This window comes from Homo sapiens, chromosome 13, assembly GCF_000001405.40.
Source record: "Homo sapiens chromosome 13, GRCh38.p14 Primary Assembly".
Classification (NCBI taxonomy): domain Eukaryota; kingdom Metazoa; phylum Chordata; class Mammalia; order Primates; family Hominidae; genus Homo; species Homo sapiens.
Window position 1 is genome coordinate 23,303,216 of NC_000013.11, and position 23,213 is coordinate 23,326,428.

The window sequence follows — 23,213 nt, forward strand, 5'->3', positions numbered from 1 at the left end:
ATTGTTAAAAAGGATCTGGGAAGGGGAACCCCTGCAAGCTCCCAGCCTGGCAGTTCAGGGCAACAGTCCTCTTCTGCCCCTGATGAAGTAACTGGGACTGGATGCACCATCTCTGGTAACCAGGAGAACACTTGACAAATATATGAAACAACCACTTTCAGACACTGGATAGCACGAAGTGCAAAACAAGACAGAAACTAATGAGGTGAGCCCTACACTTGCCCGAGCTCTCTGCCCACAGGCATGTTCAGAATCAGGGCACAGGGAAGGGGAATCCAGTCAGTGCACGGGAACCTCTGGGAGTGGAGGAGAAAGAGATCCGAGAGTGGGGAGTTGAGGCTAATGGAGTCTGTGGGGCACAGGATCAGAGAAGAGGGCATATGCCAGGAAAGAGCTCCGGAAATCACATACAAGTTCCCAGGTATGCACGTATCAGAGGTTTTTCAACTGCTCCCCTATATATGGGCACCTGATTTATTTACAATGTGCTTGTGCAGGTAAATTTTCATATTGTTGGAGATATAGCTCCATGATAAATTCCTGGAAGAGGAATCCATGGGTGAAAAAGATAAATGCACATATTGTTTACTCAGATAATGCCAAATTCCCCTTTCGGTGACTTTCCCCTCCATTGAGGTATACCAATTTGCACACTAGCATTGTTACAATAAATTCTATTTTCCTTTCCCCATGGCTCCCAACACAATGTGTTTTAAATATTTTAAATTTTGCCAATCTGATAGATTAGAAATTACATCTCATTATAGTTTACATTTCTCTTAATATGAGTGAGGTGGAGCAACTTTTCATATGTTTAAAGGCCATTTTTGTATTCCTTTCTGTGAATTGTTTGTCTTTTTCTACTTTTTAAAAATACTTTTCCTCTCAATTTTTAAGACTTCTTTAAATATTGGGAATATTAGCCCTTCATCCCTGATATATGTTTTAAATAATTTTTCCCAGCTTCAGTTGGTTTTTGACTTATTGTACTTTATGCTGTGCAAACTTTTTAATGCTTACATACTCATGTTTATTAATCTTTTTTATTGTATCTGGATTTTAAGTTTGAATTTAACATGTTTCTTGCATGGCTTTATCTTTTACAATTAGACCTCTGATCCACTTAGAGTTGATTATTGTGTGAGGTATGAGGTATAAGGTGTGAGGTCTAATTCTAATTTTATCTTTTCCAGTTGGCCAACCAGATGTGCCAGCAACTAGATTATTTATTACAAACTCTACTTTTTCCCGTGTGATTTGAAATACAACCTTTACCACCAAATGTCTCTATACACTTGGGGCTGTTCCTGCAATTGTAATTCTATTGCACCGGTCTCTCCATTCATGAGCCAGTAAGGAGTCTGTTAACTAAATAGGCTTTTTTTTTTTGGCGGCGGGGAGGGGAGCGGATGGAGTCTTGCTCTGTTGCCCAGGCTGGAGTGCAGTGGCAGGATCCCAGCTCACTGCAGCCTCTGCCTCCTGGGTTCAAGCGATTCTCCTGCCTCAGCCTCCTGAGTAGCTGGTATTACAGGAGCCTGCCATCATGCATGGCTAATTTTTGTATTTTGTTTGTTTGTTTGTTTGTTTGTTTTTGGTAGAGACCGGGTTTTGCCATGTTGGCCAGGCTGGTCTCGATCTCCTGGCCTCAGATGATCCACTCGCCTTGGCCTGCCAAAGTGCTGGGATTACAGAGAAGATATTTTAATGTCTGGTAGGACTAGTTGTGCACACATGCGTGCACGTGCTCACAGGCTTGCACGTGCTCACAGGCGTGCACGTGCTCACACACACACACACACAAGACTTTGTACATCATTGAACATTAGTCTGCCTATTCTTGGTTATGTATTTTTGCACATGAACTTGAGTATTAACTTGTCGACTTCCAGAAAACTTATTTTGTATTAGGATTATATTAAGTTTTTAAATTACCTTAGGGAAAACTGACAACTTACTGTGTTGAGTCATCTACCCAAGAACAGGGGGTGTCTTTCCATTTGTTCAAAGCTACTTCTATACCTCTCAGGAGCATTGAAAAGTTTTCTTCATATGTGTTTTCCACATTTATTTGTTGCTATTAAAAGGAGGTTTATTACATCATCATTATTCCCTGTTACTGTTTTAGATATGAAGGCTATTGATTCCTGTGTGTTAATTTTATATCTCACTACCTTACTAAACCTTTTATGGTTTGGATCCATTTGATGATTGATTCACTGGGATTTTCCAAGTATACTATCAGATCATTTGCAAATAGGTATAGTTTTACACCTTATTTTCCAAGTATAATATCTCTAATCAATTTCTCTTGGCTAATTGGATTTCCCAATGTCCTCAATGCAATGTGAGAAAGAAATGGAGATAGTAAGCATCACTGCCTTTTTCCAGTCAAAGTGGAAATGCCTCTGGTATTTCTCCATTAACCAAAATGATGTGAATGTGTGTTTTATAAAGAAAGCACATATCAATTTCTATTTTGTGTTGAATGGGTATTGAATTTAGTAAGACAGTCTTTAGTAATTACAGAGATAGTCATGTATGTCTCTTAGATATATTAATATGGGGTATTACATTAATGGATTTTCTAATACTGAACCAATCTTGCATTCTGAGAATAAATCCTACTTTGGCCATGAAATATCATACACATAACTCATATTAGTCTGCATTTCTTTTTGTTCTTGCTCTGCTGCCTGCCCAGGCTAAAGTGCAAGAACACGATCTCAGCTTACTGCAGCCTCCAGCTGCAGGGTTCAAGCGATTCTCCCACCTCAGCCTCCAAGTAGCTAGGACTACAGGAATGCACTACAATTATTATTATTATTATTATTGTGAGACAGGGTCTTGCTGTGTTGCCCAGTCTGGTCTTGAACTCCCGGCCTCAAGTGATCCTCCCACCTCACCTCCCAAAGTGCTGGGATTACTGGTGTCAGCCACTGTGCCTGGCTATGCTATGATTATAAAGTTTAAGTAACCCTGTTACTCTTGGTTCAATAATTAGGAAGTTTTTCCTCATTTTCAATGTTCTGGAATAATTTGTGGAGTATTGGGATGTTCTGGTCTCTAAAGGTTTGATGGAATTTTCTCTGGAACCATATGGGCCTGATGAAATTTTTAAAGACAGTGTTTTAATATTAATAGTGTATTTCTTCTTTTATGGAAAATTGTGTTTAAGCTTTCTAACTTTAATGGGAGTTGATTTTGGCCAACTGTATTTCCCTAGGAAATTATTCACTTAATCTAAGTTTTTAACTGTATTTGTGTAGTGGTCTGAAAGTAGTCTCATAGGAATTTTTAAATTCCTGTTGTTTTCATGGTTTTATACAGCTCATTGATAAAAATCAATGTCTATAAATACAAGTGATCACTGAAGTGATCTAACACTGTTCGCATAATCACATCCTTAGTTCCAAGTATGTATATTTTATTTGTCACAAGTTAATATCTTAAGTCTTCTTAACTTGAACAATGAAAACAATTTATTCCTTCTGGTAACTGACAACTTATGGTGTGGCTTATTTTCCTTAATTCTAGCAATTCCAAGAAAAAGGAAAAAAATACAAAATGTCAGAAAAAAAAGTACATATCATCAATTCAACAACTGGAAACAGTTTCAGGATTGAAAGTTTCATCCAGTAACAGAAGAGCACAGTCAGTGCTCATACAAGAATTCACTGATGACATCTTGGGCTCCTGAGCTATAAAGTGCTGTTAAATCCAGAATGTGAAATACATTATGTGAAAAGTAATACTCCAAATGTAAATGTATAAGTTGCCCTTTTCAAGAAGGACTTACAAATATATTAGATTTAATTTTCTTTTAGCTAAACAGAACTTTTTAAGATTTAGTATTTTTTCTTAACAAACAGAAGCTTCTAATTCCTTTTAAGATTAACAAGTAAGATGCAAAATACTAAACAAAGTTACTGAAACAGAGGTATTAAGGACAAACTGAACTTTTATAGTTCACTGACTTCTGCAGTAATTAAAAGTCTGAGACTCCCCTGAAGACTGAATTGGGTATGTCATAGATGTTTAATCATAGCCATCTTATCTGAGTGACATTAGTTACTCTATAGTGCAACATAATCTTTCACAAATTTCTGTTCATTGCAGTGTCATTCCATTCCCTTGTAGACCTCAGATATTAGTAGTCTTTTTTTCTGTGAAGTACAGTCTTGATGAGCTTAGAAGTGTATTTTATATTTTTCGTGAGTTAAAAAAAGTTATCTTTTTTCAAGACAGAAGTACACTTTACAGAAATAATGAAATCCCAGGAGTGATTTGGATTACTGTGGGATGGTGCCAGCACTGGCTGTGGGCAGTACTTAGAACTATGCCCTGTTATGCATCTTTTAGGAGATAGGTTCTACAGAACTGTATGGGTTTTTTTCAAGGTTCTAATGAAAGGTGATTCAATTCAAAGAAAATATTAGAAGTCAGTACAGATGCATGGGAGAAGAAATATAGGGCAATAATATTAATATCAATGTATCAAATTATATCTGTATTTAAAAGCATGGATTCCATAAATTCAAGTGAAATACTTTAATTTCAAGGCTCATCATTGTCATAAATCATAAAGAATATCATAAATACATAACTATTAAAATGCAGGCATTTATTGTGTAAATACAACTACATATAGACAGTAGTATCTTTGCATAGTTCATTATTAAACCAAAACACAAGTTTTTATGTACAAAAACATTCCGTAGAGAAGTGAGAAAATAAAAATAAAAACCCACATATGGGTCTCTATAAATGTCAACATTACACCTATGTGTAATGTTACATTATGTTGTGGTCAAGTCTAACAAGAAGTGGATTGCTGAAGATCGTGAATGCTTCACTGGTTAATCATGAATTTATAGACACTGATCTTTCTCTGGAGAGTATTTGGCCAGTATGAAAGTTAATTTATCCTTGTAGTATTCTATGAAAATAAACTTTCAGGAACTTGGGTGTTTTAGAAACCACTGCTTGGGCACTAAGGAGGGAATGAGTTCTTTCAAAAACATTTTTGTTTTTGTATTCAGTTCTTTAATCAGACAAGAAGTTATTTTTCATGTGGATGTGAAGTAGGCAAATAATTTTCTTTTGCTTTCTGAGTGGGAATACCCAGTTGTCTCAAAAGTCAGTCCATTCCTTCTTTATCCGTAATGCTATTTTTGTCATATATAAAGCTATTTTTAATGGGTGCCCTATTCTCGTCTGTTGTTCTGGCTTTTTTCTTCTTAAACCAGTATCTCCCTAATAGCTGTACAATGCATCTGGTACCTGCTAGGGCAAGTGTCCCCACCATGTCTTCTTCAGAGTTGTATTGGCTGTTTTTAGACATTTATTTTTCATGTAATTTTTTTTTTTGAGACAGAGTCTCACTCTGTCATCCAGGCTGGAGTGCAATGGCATGATCTCAGCTCACTGCAGCCTCCACCTCCTGGGTTTAAGTGATTCTCCCACCTTAGCGCCCTGAGTAGCTGGAATTGCAGGTGCATGCCACCATGTCCAGCTAATTTTTGTATTTTTGTAGAGACGCGGTTTCATCATGTTGGCCAGGCTGGTTTCAAACTCCTGACCTCAAGTGATTCACTCACGTTGGCCTCCCAGAGTGCTGGGATTGCAGGTGTGAACTACCATGCCTGGACTGTTTTTCATGTAAATTTTAAAATCAATTTTTCAGGTTTTTTGAAAAACTCTCCTGGTTTTTTTTTATTGGAATTACACTGAATTCATGCCTTTATAATCGTGAAGTCTCTTGTCCATAAATATGGTATATCTCTCTATTCACACAGCCTTTTATATGTCCTTTAATATTTTATGATATTCTCCATTTAGGTTTGGCCCATAATTATTAGAATTCATTACCAGGGTGTTTATAGTTTTTGTTTCTATTGAGAATGGGTTCTTTTTTCTGTTAAATTTTCAAAGTGATTATTATTGATTTTTTCATGATAGTTTTTAAGCCAGCAACTTTACTGATCATTGTTATTAGTTTACATATATATGTATATAAAAATACATACATATGCCGAGAGAGAGAGAGAGAGAAAGAGGAAGATGGGGTCTTGTTATATTGTCCAGGCTGGCCTTGAACTCCTGGGCTCAAATGATCCTTCTGCCTCAAATGATCCTTCTGCCTCAGCCTCCCAAGTAGCTGGAACTACAGATGCACACCACCATACCCAGCTTAGTTTTAATATTTTGATTGTAGAACTCAACTGATTTTTCCATTAAGATGATGATAGTGCCGAAAAAAGAGTCATCCTTTTTATTATTATACTTCTTACTTCTCAGATCCCTGTATTGTTACTTTGGCTGGGACAAATGTTGGCTAGAAAGAGTAACGATGGACATCTGTGTTTACTTCCTGACTTTGAGAAATGCTTCTAAATTTTTTAAATGAAATTATGTCTGCTATAGGTTTTTGGTAAATATTAATACCTATTATCAAATTAAGAAAGTTCCATTTTGGTCTAAGTACCCACCTCTCCTTTTTCTTTCAAACAGTGTGTGTAAGAGCAATCAAAGGTTTGGTGTAAACTCACATATGAAATGAAAGAGCCAGTACATTTTGGGGAAGTTGGATTATTTACACTTCCACTTCAATGTATTTAATGAAGTTTCTCTTTTCAAGTTTTGTACATCTTCAGGTCCATTTTGGTTGTTTCCTTGCTAGAAATTTTTCCTTGTTACTCATTATGAGCATATAATTATTCATAATTATTCATAAATGTTTATGCTAAAAGCATGTTATCTTTTGCTTTAATGCAAGGTTTGTATGTAAGCGGCTACTAGGTCAATCTTGCAAATTACATTGTTAACATCTTCTATATACTTAGTATTTTTGCCTTGTTTTTCTCTTTTTTTTTTTTTTTTTTTTTTTTTTTAGACGGAGTCTTGCTCTGTTGCCCAGGCTGGAGTGCAGTGACACGATCTCGGCTCACTGCAAGCTCCGCCTCCTGGGTTCACGCCATTCTCCTGCCTCAGCCTCCCAAGTAGCTGGGACTACAGGCGCCCGCCACCACACCCGGGTAATTTTTTGTATTTTTAGTAGAGACGGGGTTTCACCCTATTAGCCAGGGTGGTCTCGATCTCCTGACCTCATGATCTGCCCGCCTCGGCCTCCCAAAGTGCTGGGATTACAGGCGTGAGCCACCGCGCCGGGCCTGAATTCTTCCTTTTAATCATAAGTAATGTTACCCTTTTGCCCTTATTTTGTCTGGTATTACAATTGCTATACCTGGTCCTACTTTCTTTTGCACTGATTTACATTTTCCAAGTGTTTTATTTTCAATATGTTTGCAGCATTATGTTTCAGTTGTTTCTCTATGTTTCAAATTTTTTGGTTTGAGATTTTCTTTTAATGGGTTAATTTAGCCCATTTATATTTATTATGGTAACTGGTTTATTTGCCACATTTCTATCATTTTGTTTTATTTACCATGCTTTTTCTTTTCATTTTTTCTCCTTTTTCTTTTTTTGTTGGATTAATAAACTTTTCCTCCTCTCCACCCATATTTCCCCCAATAGTTCTATTTTTATTCTTTCAATGATTGTCTTTTGTTTATATGCACAGACACAAATTAATACTTGTCAACCAAGTCTACATCAATACCACCTTCTTCCCAAATAATATTTTTAAAAACTTAGTCACTTCCATCCAAACTTCCCTTTCATTGTGGTTTTATTTCAGCATTGCTTTTATTCATCTCCCTGCTTTATTTTTTCAGGCCATATCTATTTAGCTTTACCAGCACATTTTGTAATGTCCACTGCTTCTTCTTGGAAACATTCTTTTCTTCTTATTTAATTTCCATAAGTACATTTTTTGGTGAAGATCTATAGATTGTACATTTGTTCCCTGTGTCTGAAATGTCCAGTTTCCTTTATAGTCAAGTGCTGGTTAGGCTGAGCCAGATTTCTATCTAGGCTGACAATAATTTTACACGAGTATTTTAAAATATATTACTCATTAGTGCACTTTTGATTCTTTAGAGATCATGTGATTTTCATTCTGAATTCTTTTAAGATTTTATTGTTAATGTTGGCCATCTGCAGTTTCACCACGGTGTCTGGTATGTGTTAGTTTATACTTGAGTATCAGTGAACTTCTTCAGTTCTTCAGTTTCAGAAACTCATGTTCTTTTTCAATTTTGGAAAATTATTAGCCATAGTTCTTCATATGTATGTCTTCCTCATTCTCTAGAGGGTAGAGGTTTTTCACTTGTAGTCTGTGGACCCCATCAAGAGACCTTTTCACTGGGGTGGTAGCGAGCTCCCTCCTTCCCCTTGATAAAGTCACTTTTCTTCAGCCTTCACCTATAAGGTGTCTGACTACTCCTACAGGACAACTGGCTTGGTGCTCGGCACGTTGGCCTGGGGTAGAGATGAGGGCAAAGTGAGGCTGACATGTGCTACTTATACTGAGGTGTTCGATGAGGAATCAGCCTCTGATCCCAAACACCTCATGTGCGTATTCAGGATAAAATTACTAAAGATGAGTACAAAAACCCAACAGTTCCTAAATGATGCAAGGTCACTTTCAACATATTTTCAGTTATCTTTCTATCTAATTTCTCAAATTAGAAAATAGATTTTTTTCATTGAAATTATTGTTCTTTCTCCTCTGACCTCCAAACCCCCCACCGTGACCCTTTCTGGACAGATCACTTAGGTCAGCTGACAACTCCTTTCAACTTTTCTCCTGCCCAGTTCTCTAATTTGCTGTAAATGTGCATGTTTTCGTTGCTTTTTTGCAACCTTATAGAAGAAGGTGAGCCTCATCGTTTCCAAGGTTGCATCTGCCACCTATGTCCTTGGTGCCATCCCCTCCCATAATCACCTTCTGTGTCTCTGCGGACTCTAGCTTCTTCTTTGGCTCCAAGTAATCCAGGTGCCTGCAAATGAAACAATGACAATTTATTGCATCTAGATTCATTCAGATGTCATATTCATAGAATCCTTTCTAAGAACCTACCAAAGGGAAATTTCTATAAGCTAAAATTCCTCTTTTAAATACAAAGCTGTGGAAATTCAACACAGTCTCTATGCCAATTTATAAAAACCCACAAGATGCTCAATGCCAGCTTCAAAAAGCCTTTCACATTCTTTTCCAGAGGAGTAAATCCGGTTGATTTTGGTGTTTTGAAAACTAGAAAGGGACTAAATTTTAAGAATAATTGTACTTGAAGCCATGAAGTAAGATTTTAAAAACATATTGTTAAATATGGAAGTGTTCACCAGTTTTCATTTTCAATGACATTTTAATAACTGTACTTCTATAAGATACCTCAGAAAGGCAAGTACCACATGTTCTCACTTATAGATGGAAACTAAGTGATGTGTACACATGGACGTAGTGTGTGGAATGATAGCCGTAGCAGGTTGGGAGGATCAGGGGGTGAGGGATGAGAAATCACTTAATGGGTACAGTGCATGCCATTCGGGCAATGGTTAACTGAAAGCCCAGACTTTGCCTCTATGTAATATATTCATGTAACAAAACGACACTTGTACCCCCTAAATCTATACATATTTTTAAACTGTACTGATAAATATGGAGATTTTCTTTTATATTAAATTGTTTTTCCAAATGTGACATTTGAAAAAAAATGGTGTCTCCAAAAACATGTATTAGGTAATACTAGGAAATTTTTAAAGAAATATAAAAATCATGTTCAGTTTAGTCTTAGTGCTGAGTACATGTATTAGATTTCAAGTTTTTGAAAATTGGAAATTTTTGTATGGTATGTAAGGTGAGTTACCCATTCTTCAGCCATTGATAATCCTCTGAACTGTTTCCTGAAAATAAAAGATTAGGTTTTCTTATCATACTTATATTCATGCTTCCTGGTCTCTCATCCTATTTGTAAAATTTGGGCTTAATAAGAGCCTGAAAAAGCTTTAAATTGATGCACTGTTCATATTTTTCAGTAAGTTTTCTTCTTCTTCTTTTTTTTTTTTTGAGATGGAGTCTCACTCTGTCATCCAGGCTGGAGTGCAGTGGCAGGATCTCAGCTCACTGCAGCCTCTGCCTCCTGGGTTCAAGCAATTCTCCTGCCTCAGCCTCCCAGGTAGCTGGGATTACAGGCATCCACCACCATGCCCAGCTCATTTTTGTATTTTAAGTGGAGACAGGGTTTCACCATATTGGCCAGGCTGGTCTCAAACTCCTGACCTCAATTGATCCACCTGCCTCAGCCTCCCAAAGTGTTGGGATTACAGACGTGAGCCACTGAGCCTGGCCTTCTCTTTTTTTAAAAATGACATTAATATGACATGAGCAATAACTATTAAGGTCATACATGTTTGACTGTTCATAGTCTATAAATTCAATTAAAAATGAATATGGGGTAAACTTTGGAAAATTACTGACTTCTATTTATTTTTATTTAAAAAGGAGCACAACTTAAAACTCGCCTGCTTTGTAGCAGCTCAGTACCATAGGAAAAATACTACTCCTGCCTTAGCAATCAAGTCACCTTAATTGTATTTTTTATAACACCAATTATGATGGTTAGTACTGAGTCTCAACTTGATTGGATTGAAGGATTCAAAGTATTGATCCTGGTTGTGTCTGTGAGGGTGTTGGCAAAGGAGATTAACATTTGAGTCAGTGGGCTGGGGAAGGCAGACCCACCCTTAACCCCAGTGGGCACAATCTAATCAGCTGCCAGCGAATATAAAGCAGGCAGAAAAATGTGAAAAGGTGAGACTGGCCTAGCCTCCCAGCCTACATCTTTCTCTATGCTGGACGCTTCCTGCCCTTGAACATCAGACTCTAAGTTCTTCAGTTTTGAGACTTGGACTGGCTCTCCTTGCTCCTCAGCTTGAAGACAGCCTATTGTGGGACCTTGTGATCATGTAAGTTAATGCTTAATAAACTCCCCTTTATATATATCTATATCTATATATCTATATCTGTATCTATATAGCTATATATATAGAGTTTTGAACAGTATATATATATATAGAGAGAGAGAGAGAGAGTTTTGAACTTTGAGAGATCTCACAGTTGATTGGTGTATTAGTCAGGGTTCCCTAGAGGGACAGAACTAATAAGATATGGACTTGGAATATCTTACATTGATGGACATCTGTGTTTACTTCCTGACTTTGAGAAATGCTTCTAAATTTTTTAAATGAAATGATGTCTGCTATAGGTTATATATATATATATATATATATATAATCTTATTCTGTCCCTAATAAGATATGTATATAAGATATATATAAAGGTATATATATATAAGATATATATCTTATTAGTTCTGTCCCTCTAGGGAACCCTGACTAATACAGATGTTAGTACCAGGAGTGGTTCTAAAGGAACAGAATATTAAGGGTGGAGTTCTTGATCACTTTTCGCTCCCACAAGATATCACACTGGTCCATTACATTGATGACATTATGCTGATTGGATCCAGTGAGCAAGAAGTGGCAAACACACTGGACTTATTGGTGAGATATTTGTGTGCCAGAGGATGGGAAATACATCCAACTAAAATTCAGGGACCTTCTACCTCAGTAAAATTTTTAGGGGTCCTGTGGTGTGGGGCCTGTCAAGATACTCCTTCTAAGGTGAAGGATAAGTTGCTGCATTTGGCCCCACCTGCAACCAAGAAAACGGCACAATGCCTAGTGGGCCTATTTGGATTTTGGAGGCAACACATTCCTCATTTGGGTGTGTTACTTCGGCCCATTTATCGAGTGACCCAAAAGGCTGCCAGTTTTTAGTGAGGTCCAGAACACGAGAATGCTCTGCCACAGGTCCAGGCTGCTGTGAAAGCTGCTCTGCCGCTTGGGCCATATGACTCAGCAGATCCAATGGTGCTTGAGGTGTCAGTGGCAGATAGGGACGCTGTTTACAGCCTTTGGCAGGCCCTTACAGGTGAATCACAGTGGAGGCCTCTAGGATTTTGGAGCAAGGCCCTGCCATCTTCTGAAGATAACTACTGTCCTTTTGAGAGACAACTCTTGGCCTGTTACTGGGCTTTGGTGGAAACTGGAAGTTTGACTGTGGGTCATCAAGTCACCATGTGACCTGAACTGCCTATCGTAAACTGGGTGGGTGCCTTTTGACCCATCTAGCCATAAAGTGGGTCGTGCACAACAGCATTCCATCATCAAATGGATGTGGTATATATGCGATCGTGCTCGAGCAGGTCCTGAAGGCACATGTAAGTTACATGAGGAAATGGCTCAAATGCCCATGGTCTCCCCTTCTGCCACCCTGCCTTCTCTTCCCCAGCCTGCACCAATGGCCTCATGGGGAGTTCCCTATGATCAGTTGAGAGAGGAAGAGAAGACTAGGGCCTGGTTCACAGATGGTTCTGTATGATATGCAGGCACCACCCAAAAGTGGACAGCTGCAGCACTACAGCCCCTTTCTAGGACATCCCTGAAGGACAGCAGTGAAGGGGAATCTTCCCAGTGGGCAGAACTTTGAGTAGTGCACCTGATTGTGCACTTCGCATGGAAGGAGAAATGGCCAGATATGCAATTATATACTGATTCATGGGCTGTAGCCAATGGTTTGGCTGGATGGTCAGGGACTTGGAAGAAGCATGATTGGAAAATTGGTGACAAAGAAATTTGGGGAAGAGATATGTGGATGGACCTCTCTGAGTGGTCAAAAAATGTGAAGATATTTGTATCCCATGTGAGTGCTCACCAACTGGTGACCTCAGCAGAGAAGGATTTTAATAATCAAGTGGATAGGATGACCCGTTCTGAGGACACTACTCAGTCTCTTTCCCCAGTCACCCCTGTCATTGTCCAATAGTCCCATGAACAAAGTGGCCATGGTGGCAGGGATGGAGGTTACGCATTGGCTCAGCAACATGGACTTCCGCTCACCAAGGCTATTCTGGCTACAGCCACTGCTGAGTACCCAGTTTGCCAGTAGCAGAGACCAACACTGAGCCCTTGATATGGCACCATCCTTGGGGTGATAAGCCAGCTACCTGGTGGCAGTTGGATTATATTGGACCTCTTCCATCATGGGAAGGGCAGAGGTTTGTCCTCACTGGAATAGACAGTCTGGATATGGGTTTGCCTATCCTGCATGCAATGTTTCTGCCAAGACTACTATCTGTAGACTCATGGAATGCCTTATCCACCATCATGGTATTCCACACAGCATTGCCTCTGATCAAGGCACTCCCTTTATGGCTAAAGAAGTGCAGCAGTGGGCTCATGCTCATGGAATTCACTGGTCTTACCATGTTCCCCATCATCCTGAAGCAGCTAGATTGATAGAACGGTGGAATGTTCTTTTAAAGTCACAATTACAGTGCCAACTAGGTGACAATACTTTGCAGGGCTGGGGCAGAGTTCTCCAGAAGGCCGTGTATGCTCTGAATCAGCGTCCAATATGTGGTACTGTTTCTCCCATAGCCAGGACTCATGGGTCCAGGAATCAAGGGGTGGAAGTGGAAGTGGCACCACTCGCCATCACCCCAGTGATCCACTAGCAAAATTTTTGCTTCCTGTTCCTGCGACATTACGTTCTGCTGGCCTAGAGATCTTAGTTCCAGAGGGAGGACTGCTGCCACCAGGAGACACAACAATGATTCCATTAAATTGAAAGTTAAGATTGCCACCTGGACACTTTGGGCTCCTCCTATGTTTAAGTCAACAGGCTAAGAAGGGAGTTCCAATGTTGGCTGGGGTGATTGACCCAGACTATCAAGATGAAATCATTTGGCCGGGCGCGGTGGCTCATGCCTGTAATCCCAGCACTTTGGGAGGCCAAGGTGGGCAGATCATGAGGTCAGGAGATTGAGACCATCCTGGCTAACACAGTGAAAGCTGTCTCTACCAAGATTAGCCGGGCATGGTGGTAGGCACCTATAGTCCTAGCTACTTGGGAGGCTGAGGCAGGAGAATGGCGTGAACCCAGGAGGCAGAGCTTGTAGTGAGCCGAGACCACACCACTGCACTGCAGCCTGGGCAACAGAGTGAGACTCCGTCTCAAAAAAAAAAGATGAAATCAGTCTACTACACCACAGAGGTAAGGAAGAATATGCATGGAATACAGGAGATCCATTAGGGCATCTCTTAGTATTACCATGCCCTGTGATTAAGGTCAATGGGAAACTACAACAGCCCAATCCAGGCAGGGCTACAAACGGCCCAGACCTCTCAGGAATGAAGGTTTGGCTCACTCCACCAGGAAAAAAGCCATGACCTGCTGAGGTGCTTGCTGAAGGCAAAGGGAATACAGAATGGGTAGTTGAAGAAGGTAGTCATCAATACCAGCTACGAACACGTGACCAGCTTCAGAAACGGGGACTGTAATTATGAGTATTTTCTCCTTTTTTTTGCTGAAAACATACTTGTGCATGTATACACTTGTACTAAGAAAATATCTTTATTTTCTTTTCCTTTATCATTTTACATAAGATTTATTGACTTCATAGCAGCATTTAAGTATTGTTAACTTATGTAATAGTATTTGGGTTGGGGATTGGTGCGTTTCCAGTTGTAGGAAGGATAGTTGTATTATGTTGGGTGTAATTATGACCTTATTATCTTTATTTGAAGATTATGTGTGATCTCAGGAGATGTGTATGGGTTCAAGGGGTGGACTTGTGATGGTTAATACTGAGTGTCAACTCGATTGGATTAAAAGATACAAAGTATTGGTCCTGGGTGTGTCTGTGAGGGTGTTGCCAAAGGAGATTATCATTGGAGTTAGTGGGCTGGGGAAGGCAGACCCACCCTTAATTGGGTGGGCACCATCTAATCAGTGGCCAGCAAATATAATGCAGGCAGAAAAATGTGAAAAGGCTCCCAGCCTACATCTTTTTGTCATGCTGGATGCTTCCTGCCCTCGAACATTGGACTCCAAGTTCTTCAGTTTTGAGACTCGGACTGGCTCTCTTTGCTCCTTAAGCTTTCAGACAGCCTATTGTGGGACCTTGTGATCATGTAAGTTAATACTTAATAAACTCCCCTTCCTACTAGTTATGTCCTACTATAACTACTAGTTATGTCCTACTAGTTATATCCTACTAGTTATGTCCCTCTAGGGAACCCTGACTAATACACCAATCAACTGTGAGATCTCTCAAAGTCAACTTCCAAGTCTTTTGTATACATCTTTAATTGAACTAATGAGAAGAGAGTGAATCAAATTCTGAAAGCAAAGTTAGTGCCTTATGTCCAGTGTCTTATGTCCTAAGAAGAAAACTGCCATGATGGGACCTAAATATTTAATATAGAAATATACATATTTATATATAATATATATTTAATATTACACACACACATAAGCATTTGGATATATTTCTGTGACACTGTTCAAAACTCTTTTACTTTTCATTGAAGTCATAATATTTATGTATTTACCTATTCAGAAAAGAGGGTAAACTAAAATATAACAAAGACAGAAAACAAGTTATTTTGTATCTGAGTACTGTTCAATGTGTTAATGGAAATGTATACTTCAGAGCAATCTTATCTCAGCCTTTTGGTAAAATGTGTCTCAATCTGGGTTGAACTGAAATTTCTCATCTCCAAGTCTAGAAATAATGCAAAGGGTAAGAAGTTTGCTCTTCTTAGCAGCGTCCCATTATAACATGGTTAAAAACTAGTAAATGATCAGGTTGAAGTCATTTTGTTGTCGTTTAATGACTGATCTTGGAAACACCCACTTTCACAAGGATCTTCAAGGTCACAGATAGTTTGCCTGAAATTGACCAGGCTTCAAAGGTGCTTCTGTGTTCTTCCTTCCTTCCACTCCTCCACGCAAGAAAAATGTAGACAATTATCCAAGGTCAAAATAGCAAACTGGGGCCAGGCGTGGTGGCTCACGCCTGTAATCCCAGCACTTTGGGAGGCCAAGGCGGGTGGATCCCGAGGTCAGGAGTTCGAGACCAGCCTGGCCAAGATGGTGAAATCCCGTCTCTACTAAAAATACAAAAATTAGCTGGACACGGTGGCGGGTGCCTGTAAACCTAGGTACTTGGGAGGCTGAGGCAGGAGAATCGCCTGAAGCCAGGAGGTTGTGGTTGCAGTGAGCCAAGACCACACCACTGTATTCTCTAGCCTGGGTGACAGAGCAAGACTCCGTCTCAAAAAAAAAAAAAAGACAAAAAGCAAACTGGGCAGGCAGCCAGACCATGCACATGGAGCTGTACCAAAGTGTTCCCCAGCCTAACTTGACCAATAAATTCCATAAATGTCTCTAAGCGTTTTCTCATACTCAAGGTAAGACTTCAAAATGTGGGGCAGGTCAAACTTCACATGCTCAGAAAATGAAACTTTGTCTTCTATAACAAATAGTCATAGATTAAAAAAAACTTGCCAATTCAAGGGAGCAATTTCATCAGATGTAAAAAGTCTGTTAAATAAATGTTCAGTCAATTTAAGTGCAGATTCATTATCAGGGTACTTCTCTCTTAAGCCACTTCCCTTTCTCTCTGCTCCCTGCCCCTCTCCTCCCATGAAACCCTAGCCTACAATGGGTAGGATTTCCGAATTAGGTATCTTTTTCTGTTTGTTCTGCTTCCTACTGCCCTTTAAGCGTTTCCTTGAAATCAGCATTTCAAACTTTGGGGCTGAGCAGCTGAAAAGTGTTTCAAATGATCACATTGTGCCATCTGGTGGAAATACAGCCTTTTCCAGGCAGAGGCAAGTAAGAGAATTCCTCTGGCTCTTATATTTTTGGTTCTCTTTCTATATTTGGCTTAACCACAAGGAAAGTCTGATAAATTTTACAAAACCAAAAGCCAGCTGAGGCCAACCTCCCTCCTTTCGGTTCTATCAGTTTAGTATTTTTTCCAAAAGAAATCTTTCCATTTGCCCTGTAATGTTTTTAAATAATAATAAAGAAAAGACCAAACTTATATTCTGTCTTATGAACATGTGGAAAATGCATGTGTTGTCCTTAAATCTATCTTTTTTTCTTAAATAAATTGGTGTTTTAACTAAAAAACAAGCCTGCCACAGCTGGTTGAGAGGCCAAGCCAGGAGGACCTCTTGAGCCGGGAGTTCGATTTTGCAGTGTGCCACGATCACAACTGTGAAGAGCCACTGCACTCTAGCCTGGGCAACATAACGAAAATAATTTTGTATAGTAATTCATAAATGGCATTTTCTTCTGAAATAGTATGCCAGAGTACTTAACTATGCCATCGGAAACTGCTGCATGGGATTAGGACTGCCTAATGTTTTTATCGGCTTTTAGAGGATACTAATCTCATAGGCTTTCATTGATACAAAGTTTATATCTTACTTCACATTATTTCTAGATTTATCAATGAATAATGCACAATATGTTACCATTTGAGAATGACTTGAAGACTTACATATCTTACTAGTTATATTTCCCATGCTAAGTTGAGGGATTGCTGGAGTGGCTATTTTTAATACTTTTTTTTTTTTTTTTTGTGCTTCTTTTCCTCATCTCAGATTAGAATCCCCCACTCGGAGTCTAAGCATGGATGCCCCAAGGGGTGTGCATATTCAAGCTCACGCTGGGAAAATTGAGGCGCTTTCTCAAATGGATATTCTTTTTCATAGTAGTGATGGAATGGTGAGTTCATTCACAGATCAGCCTCCTACTGTATGTCCTGATGATATTCCTGAGTACCATGTCTGTAAAGCTATCAGTATTAAATTTCTAGTAGTTTGTAGGAAAACATTGTGAAGGTCATAGAGTAGCAAATGTACAAGGAAAGCAAAAGACAATTTAGCATTGAAAGAAGGGCCAAGAAAGTCTAAAATTATTCTGTATTAGATCCAGACAGCTTTCTTTAACTGGCATTTATGCTATCAAGTGATTTAGTGACTTGTTATTTTCAAGTCGGAAAAAAAAAACACTACAGACGTTCACAGTTTACAGAGAATGTCCATTTTGCCATTTCCTAGGGATGGCTGTCACTAGGAGTCACCCACTAACAACCACTGTCACCTTTCACTGCCCAGAGTGCTGCGTTTAAGCTGCATTTCCAGTTTAAATGAAAATGAAAGATGAAAAATAAGAGTGTTTTTTTCAAAGTCAACTACAATAAAGATAAAATCTGGGACTTCAAGTCTAGAAATACAGTTGTCCCCCTTTATTGACAGGGGATTTGTTCCAAGACCCCTACTGGAAGCCTAAAACCACAGAGAGTACAGAACCCTGTATACACTATCTGTTTTCCTGTGCATACACACCTCTGCTAAAGTTTAACTTATAAATAAGGCTCAGTGAGAGATTAAGAACAATAACTCACAATAAAATGAAGTGATTATGACAATATGCTAGCATCAATGCTCTTGTGCTTTGGAGCCATTATTAATTAAAATTAACGGTGACTTGAACACAAGTACCACAATAACTTAACAGTGGATCTCACCGTGGAGATGGCTCCTCAGTGACTCACGGGCTGGGAGCGTAGACAGCTGGAGATGCTGGACACAGGGATGATTCATGTCCTGGGCTGGACGGCTCAAGATTCCATCACGCTAGTCAGAAAGGGGTGCCATTTAAAATGTATAAATTATTTCTGGAATTTTCCATTTAATATTATCCAGACCAAAGTTGACAGCAGATAACTAAAATCAAAACTAAAACCAAAGAAAGTGAAACAGCAGGCAGCAGGGGAGGAGCTGCTAAAACCTCACTGACACAAGCCAAAGTCACAATGAGGCTTACAGCACACAGTGCTCAATACTGATATTGGAACCCTGTTTGTTAGAAAAAAAAAAAGGAAAAAGCTCAATTTCGGTCAACCAGAAAATCAGACATGTTAGGGATGTTCCTAAATGGTCTAGAAGAAAACCAAGGATTTGGTTTATAAGCTCATTCCAATTGTATGATGCCATATTTATAGATTTGTGCAAACAACTGATCTCATCTTCTTGGCCTAACCCCAGATATTTTCATATGTATGAATGTGCTCAAAATAAGCCACTGCTGCAAGAATTGTCTTGTACATAGCTCTGTCTTACCAAGAGTGAGTGCAGTGAGTGACATGGGTTGTGTTCACTCATGCCACCATTGCCTGACAGACCCTGTGGAATCCAATAGGGATGGCACCACGTCCAAAAGGCTGAAGAAGAGACCCAGAGCCATGGAACAGGACATAGGGTTTATTGAGGACTTAACAGACAGGGCGGTCCAGTAGCAGCGAGCTGGACTGGAAAACTGCTCCCATTTTTAAAAAGCATGCAGGTTATACAGCATTTTCACTTAGCAACAACTTCCATTTAACCCAAAACAAAGGGCCTCGATCCCCCATATGGCCTGTGTTGCAAGGGATGGGCCAGGCGCTCCGATGTCCTTCACAGATGTGGACTGAATCTCAGGGTTTGCCACTCCCAGACTCCTTAGCTCAGAAGGCTGAACACACATTCTTCTTGGATCATAGAGTCATTCTCAGGGATTGCCTGAGTTATTGCAGTCAGGTGCATCTCCATACACCGGGTGAATGTGCTGGGATAAACATCCATGGACGCTGTTAGTACAACAAGAAGGCACATGGGTTTCCAAGCTCCTCCCCAGCCCAGGCCCTATCATCGCACCTGCGGCGATGCACAGACCGCCCCCCACCCATCCACCTCCCCCCCCCCCCCCCCCCGCCAACAGGTGTAACGTGGTGCCGCGGGCAGAGGATTCACCTGGAAGTCAGGAAGCCTGAGTCCTAGTGCTAGATCAAATTCCCTCATTACCTGTTTGAATTCAGGACTCTTATCCGGCCCTCTCTAGGCCTGTCTCAGCAAATAGGGAATATAATATTTGCTTAATTATGTCATAGGGTTTTGAGACACTACTGTAGGAATATGGGTGCCAACATTTTGAAACTACATTACTGTGATATTAATAGGAACGTGTAGTAAAGGTGTAGGTGGATATGGTGCCATCATCAAGCCAGCTGCGAGAACAGCACCAGAGTGTGTGGGCAGGACCCATCAGATGACAGCCTGCTAGTGGAACACAGGTCTTCAGGGGAAGCCACTGCAGGTCATAACCTATGAAGTTGTGATGTCAGGAGCAGAGAAATGCAGAAATAAAAATCAAGAATGAGGCGTTAGATAATAACCTAAAGATTCTACTTGAAAAACATATTAACAGCTATTTGACTTCTTTGACCGTGACTGCACCAGACCATGCACGGCACAGAGCTGCCTGCAATGCTGTGGGGTCGTGTGATCAAGCCTCACCTGGCAGGTGCACACCGGCGAATGCGTGCAGCAGACAGCAGGTTGTTAATAGATTGGAAGGCAAGGATAAGAGCCACATAACATAAAGGAAGGAGCTCTCCTTGGCAAGGACAGAATTATGCCTACCCACATTCAGTTTAATTCCTTGTAACAAGTGAGTGCCCTGGAGTGGGCAACGTTTGGCTGCTGGATGTGACGATTTTTATTTCCTTATCAAAAAGATTTCCAAGCCTCAATCTACGGCTCTTTGTTTGCACTTCAGTTTAACTAAATTATCATATGACCAGAATATCCAGTAGTTTTCATTTCATTTTAATTGGCTTAGTCTGCGTGTCTACTGCTTTTCAGCATCTAATAGGAGGCTGTGCAGTTTCAAATAATATATAAAAATTAGGGAAATGGTTGCCAGCTAATAGGATGAATTTAATTGCCTCTCATAGGAAAACAAAATCAGGAATAAAATCAGGATAAACTTCATCATTCATGGGTAAAAATTATTAAGATGAATCTATTCTAATGGATTGTACTTTATCCTAATGGGGAGGAGAGGATTTACATAAAGTCAAAGTGAGTCACAAGATAAATGTGAATCGGGAGAATTCTAATATGTTTGACAAATAATTCTGAAAGGCGTTTTGAGAAGCATAGCATCACAAAACTGAAAAGCAACCCAGTTTATTGAAACAAAAACAAACTGTAAAGGTGAAACATGTTTTCACAATGGGGCCACATTTCTCAGCTGCACTCAAACAATGACAAACCGGAAAAGCGCCTCCCTCCAATGTGGAAGGAATTGTGAAGTCCCAGCCTGCATGTAAAATAGAACTGGGCTTTAAAAGAATCGGATAATTACGAAATGAGTTACATAAAGTCAGGTGCCTATTTTGTTTTCTATGAGGAGAAGAAACTAATTGGAAATCTTGTGAGAATGGGGATTTGCTGCTGACCAGGGTGGCCCTTCCTTAACTCTTCGTCTCTCATCTTCTCCCAACCAGCTTGTGCTTGATGCTGAAACTGTGTGCTTACCCAAGCTGGTGCAGGGGACGTGGGGTCCCTCTGGCAGCTCACAGAGCCTCTACGAAATCTGTGTGTGTCCAGATGGGAAGCTGTACCTGTCTGTGGCCGGTGTGAGCACCACGTGCCAGGAGCACAACCACATCTGCCTCTGAGCTGCCTGCGTCCTCTCGGTGAGCTGTGCAGTGCCGGCCCCAGATCCTCACACCCAGGGAGCAGCTGCACATCGTGAAAGACTGAGGCAGCGTGGATGGGAAGTAAACGCTTCCAGAGGAACTCAGAAAAAATTATGTGCCAGTGAAAGTGTTTGGACAAAAACTACATGATCTCAAAATGCACGTGGATGTGAGACACAAAAGTTGACAAAATGGAAAAGCAATGTGTTTTTCCACTGGATTAATTTTCACCGGAACAATTGCGAATTCTCTCTGCCTCGCCTCCCCCTATCTTGTCCGTGTGGGCACACACTGAGTGTTGAGTTGCCGTGTGGAGTTAATGTATGACGCTCCACTGTGGATATCTAATGCCCTGTTGAGAGTAGCCTTGCTCAGTACTAAAATGCCCCAAAGTTCTATACAGCATTTCCTTTATAGCATTCAAACCTCACATCCTCCCTTCAGTTTAATGCAAGTAAGTCAGGTTTCACAAGAAAATTTTCAAGTTTTGAAGGGAATTTGAGGTTGATCTGGTTTTCAAGATGTAGTTAAAGGAATAAATCACTCAAAATTAAACTTTCTGTATATAGTCAATAAGCAATAAAAACCTCATTTTTCAGAGTTCACAGTTTAAGAGTGTCTTTTTTAATCCTCACAAATCTTTGAGGTAGCTATTATTTTTCCCCAAGTTACTGGTGACAAAGGCTCAGGTAGAACAAGTCACAAGGTCACATGGTAACTACTGAAATTAAACCAAAATGTAACCCTAAATTTACATAGCTCTTTTCACTTTGAAAAAGTTTCATGTGCTGTCTCCAAAACACCCGTCTATGTGATAATTGTACAGCACTTATTTGACAAACAAAGAAACTGAAGCCCAAAGAGGTTTTGTCTCTACCAAGATCAAAGGGCTAGTCTGTGGTACTTGCCTCCACATGATAGACACAAGTCTGGACGTAACTTCATAGAAACAAGACACTCAGAGCTTGTGAACATGTTTAGTGCCAATTGGCTGTGTAAGGTGCTATAGAAATCAAATAGGACACACTGAACCTCTGAAGACAGGTTCGTTTTGTGTAGGCCACCCACTCACTTTGTAAAATGCCCTCTATCACAAAAAGTGGTGCATTTGTTTTTGTTTTACTTATTATAAGAAGAATCTTCAAATAGGTGTAGGGAGACCAACAGCACTGCAACTTTCTAATGATATGACATATTAATAACTATCAATATAAGTTCAAATTCATTTTCCATAGTCTCAGAATCAAGAGAAAGTACAAAAGTGAACTCTATTCCTAATGCTTAGTAAGATGTTCATTTAACAGCATAGCCTGCTCATAACAACTCCCTGATGTTTAAATGGCCAGAATGCATAAACACTTGAAATTGCAAAATAAAAATACAGTGCTTTCCAAGCAGTTAAGAGCAAACTCAACTCAGTGTAATTCACATTTCACAGGCAGTTGGGTGCTTTTACTTATAAATTGATATTTACCTTTTTCCATTTGGTTGAGTCCTGAGTAAACTGCTTTCTTACTGTGACATTCCTATTGTCATAGTAAATGGTTCCTGGTATTTTGTTCCCTGTTTGTGCGAAATATGTCTTCAAGCCCAGCTGATAAAACACGGGATCACTAGATCACTAAACATTTATAAACTAGCTTGGTTCTCATATTATGTGTCCAAAAATTTGTGTGTAGATGATAAAGTGAGGTAAATAAAAATAGTCAAGTAGAAAGTGTGGAGAACAGAACCTTTTGAATAAAAGGTTTAAATTCTATTTTTTTATCCTTAGCTATATGGAATAATGTTGAAAGAAGTTGTTACAGATAAATGCATTCTCCACAATAAGGAATTTATCCTTCATTAGAATCAAAGCTTTTAGAT

General features: G+C 39.7%; 1 protein-coding gene and 1 long non-coding RNA gene across 6 annotated transcripts in view, besides 2 other annotated features; one reads left to right on the forward strand and one right to left on the reverse strand.

Moving 5' to 3' along the window:
- The window catches only part of SGCG (sarcoglycan gamma), a 164,655-nt gene extending 142,708 nt beyond the window's left edge, over positions 1-21,947 (forward strand). For all 5 annotated transcript variants that reach the window (NM_001378244.1, XM_047430542.1, NM_001378245.1 and 2 more), the window contains 2 exons: positions 17,422-17,545; positions 21,153-21,947. In NM_001378244.1, the coding sequence (NP_001365173.1) occupies positions 17,422-17,545; positions 21,153-21,326 (298 nt within the window). In that variant the 3' untranslated portion in view covers positions 21,327-21,947. The remainder of the gene's footprint in view (positions 1-17,421; positions 17,546-21,152) is intronic.
- On the reverse strand, positions 7,670-21,158 carry LOC107984585 (uncharacterized). Its single transcript, XR_001749787.2, has 2 exons — positions 18,351-21,158; positions 7,670-8,900 (listed from the first exon to the last, which is right to left on the reverse strand). It is a non-coding gene; the product is annotated as an uncharacterized LOC107984585 (long non-coding RNA).
- Positions 18,235-18,424: an enhancer, noted in NCBI's record as "active region_7450". NCBI's record gives its function as "activates an Ori minimal core promoter by ATAC-STARR-seq in GM12878 lymphoblastoid cells {active_cell/tissue: GM12878}" and the evidence as "EXISTENCE:reporter gene assay evidence [ECO:0000049][PMID:35858748]".
- Positions 18,435-18,524: an enhancer, noted in NCBI's record as "active region_7451". NCBI's record gives its function as "activates an Ori minimal core promoter by ATAC-STARR-seq in GM12878 lymphoblastoid cells {active_cell/tissue: GM12878}" and the evidence as "EXISTENCE:reporter gene assay evidence [ECO:0000049][PMID:35858748]".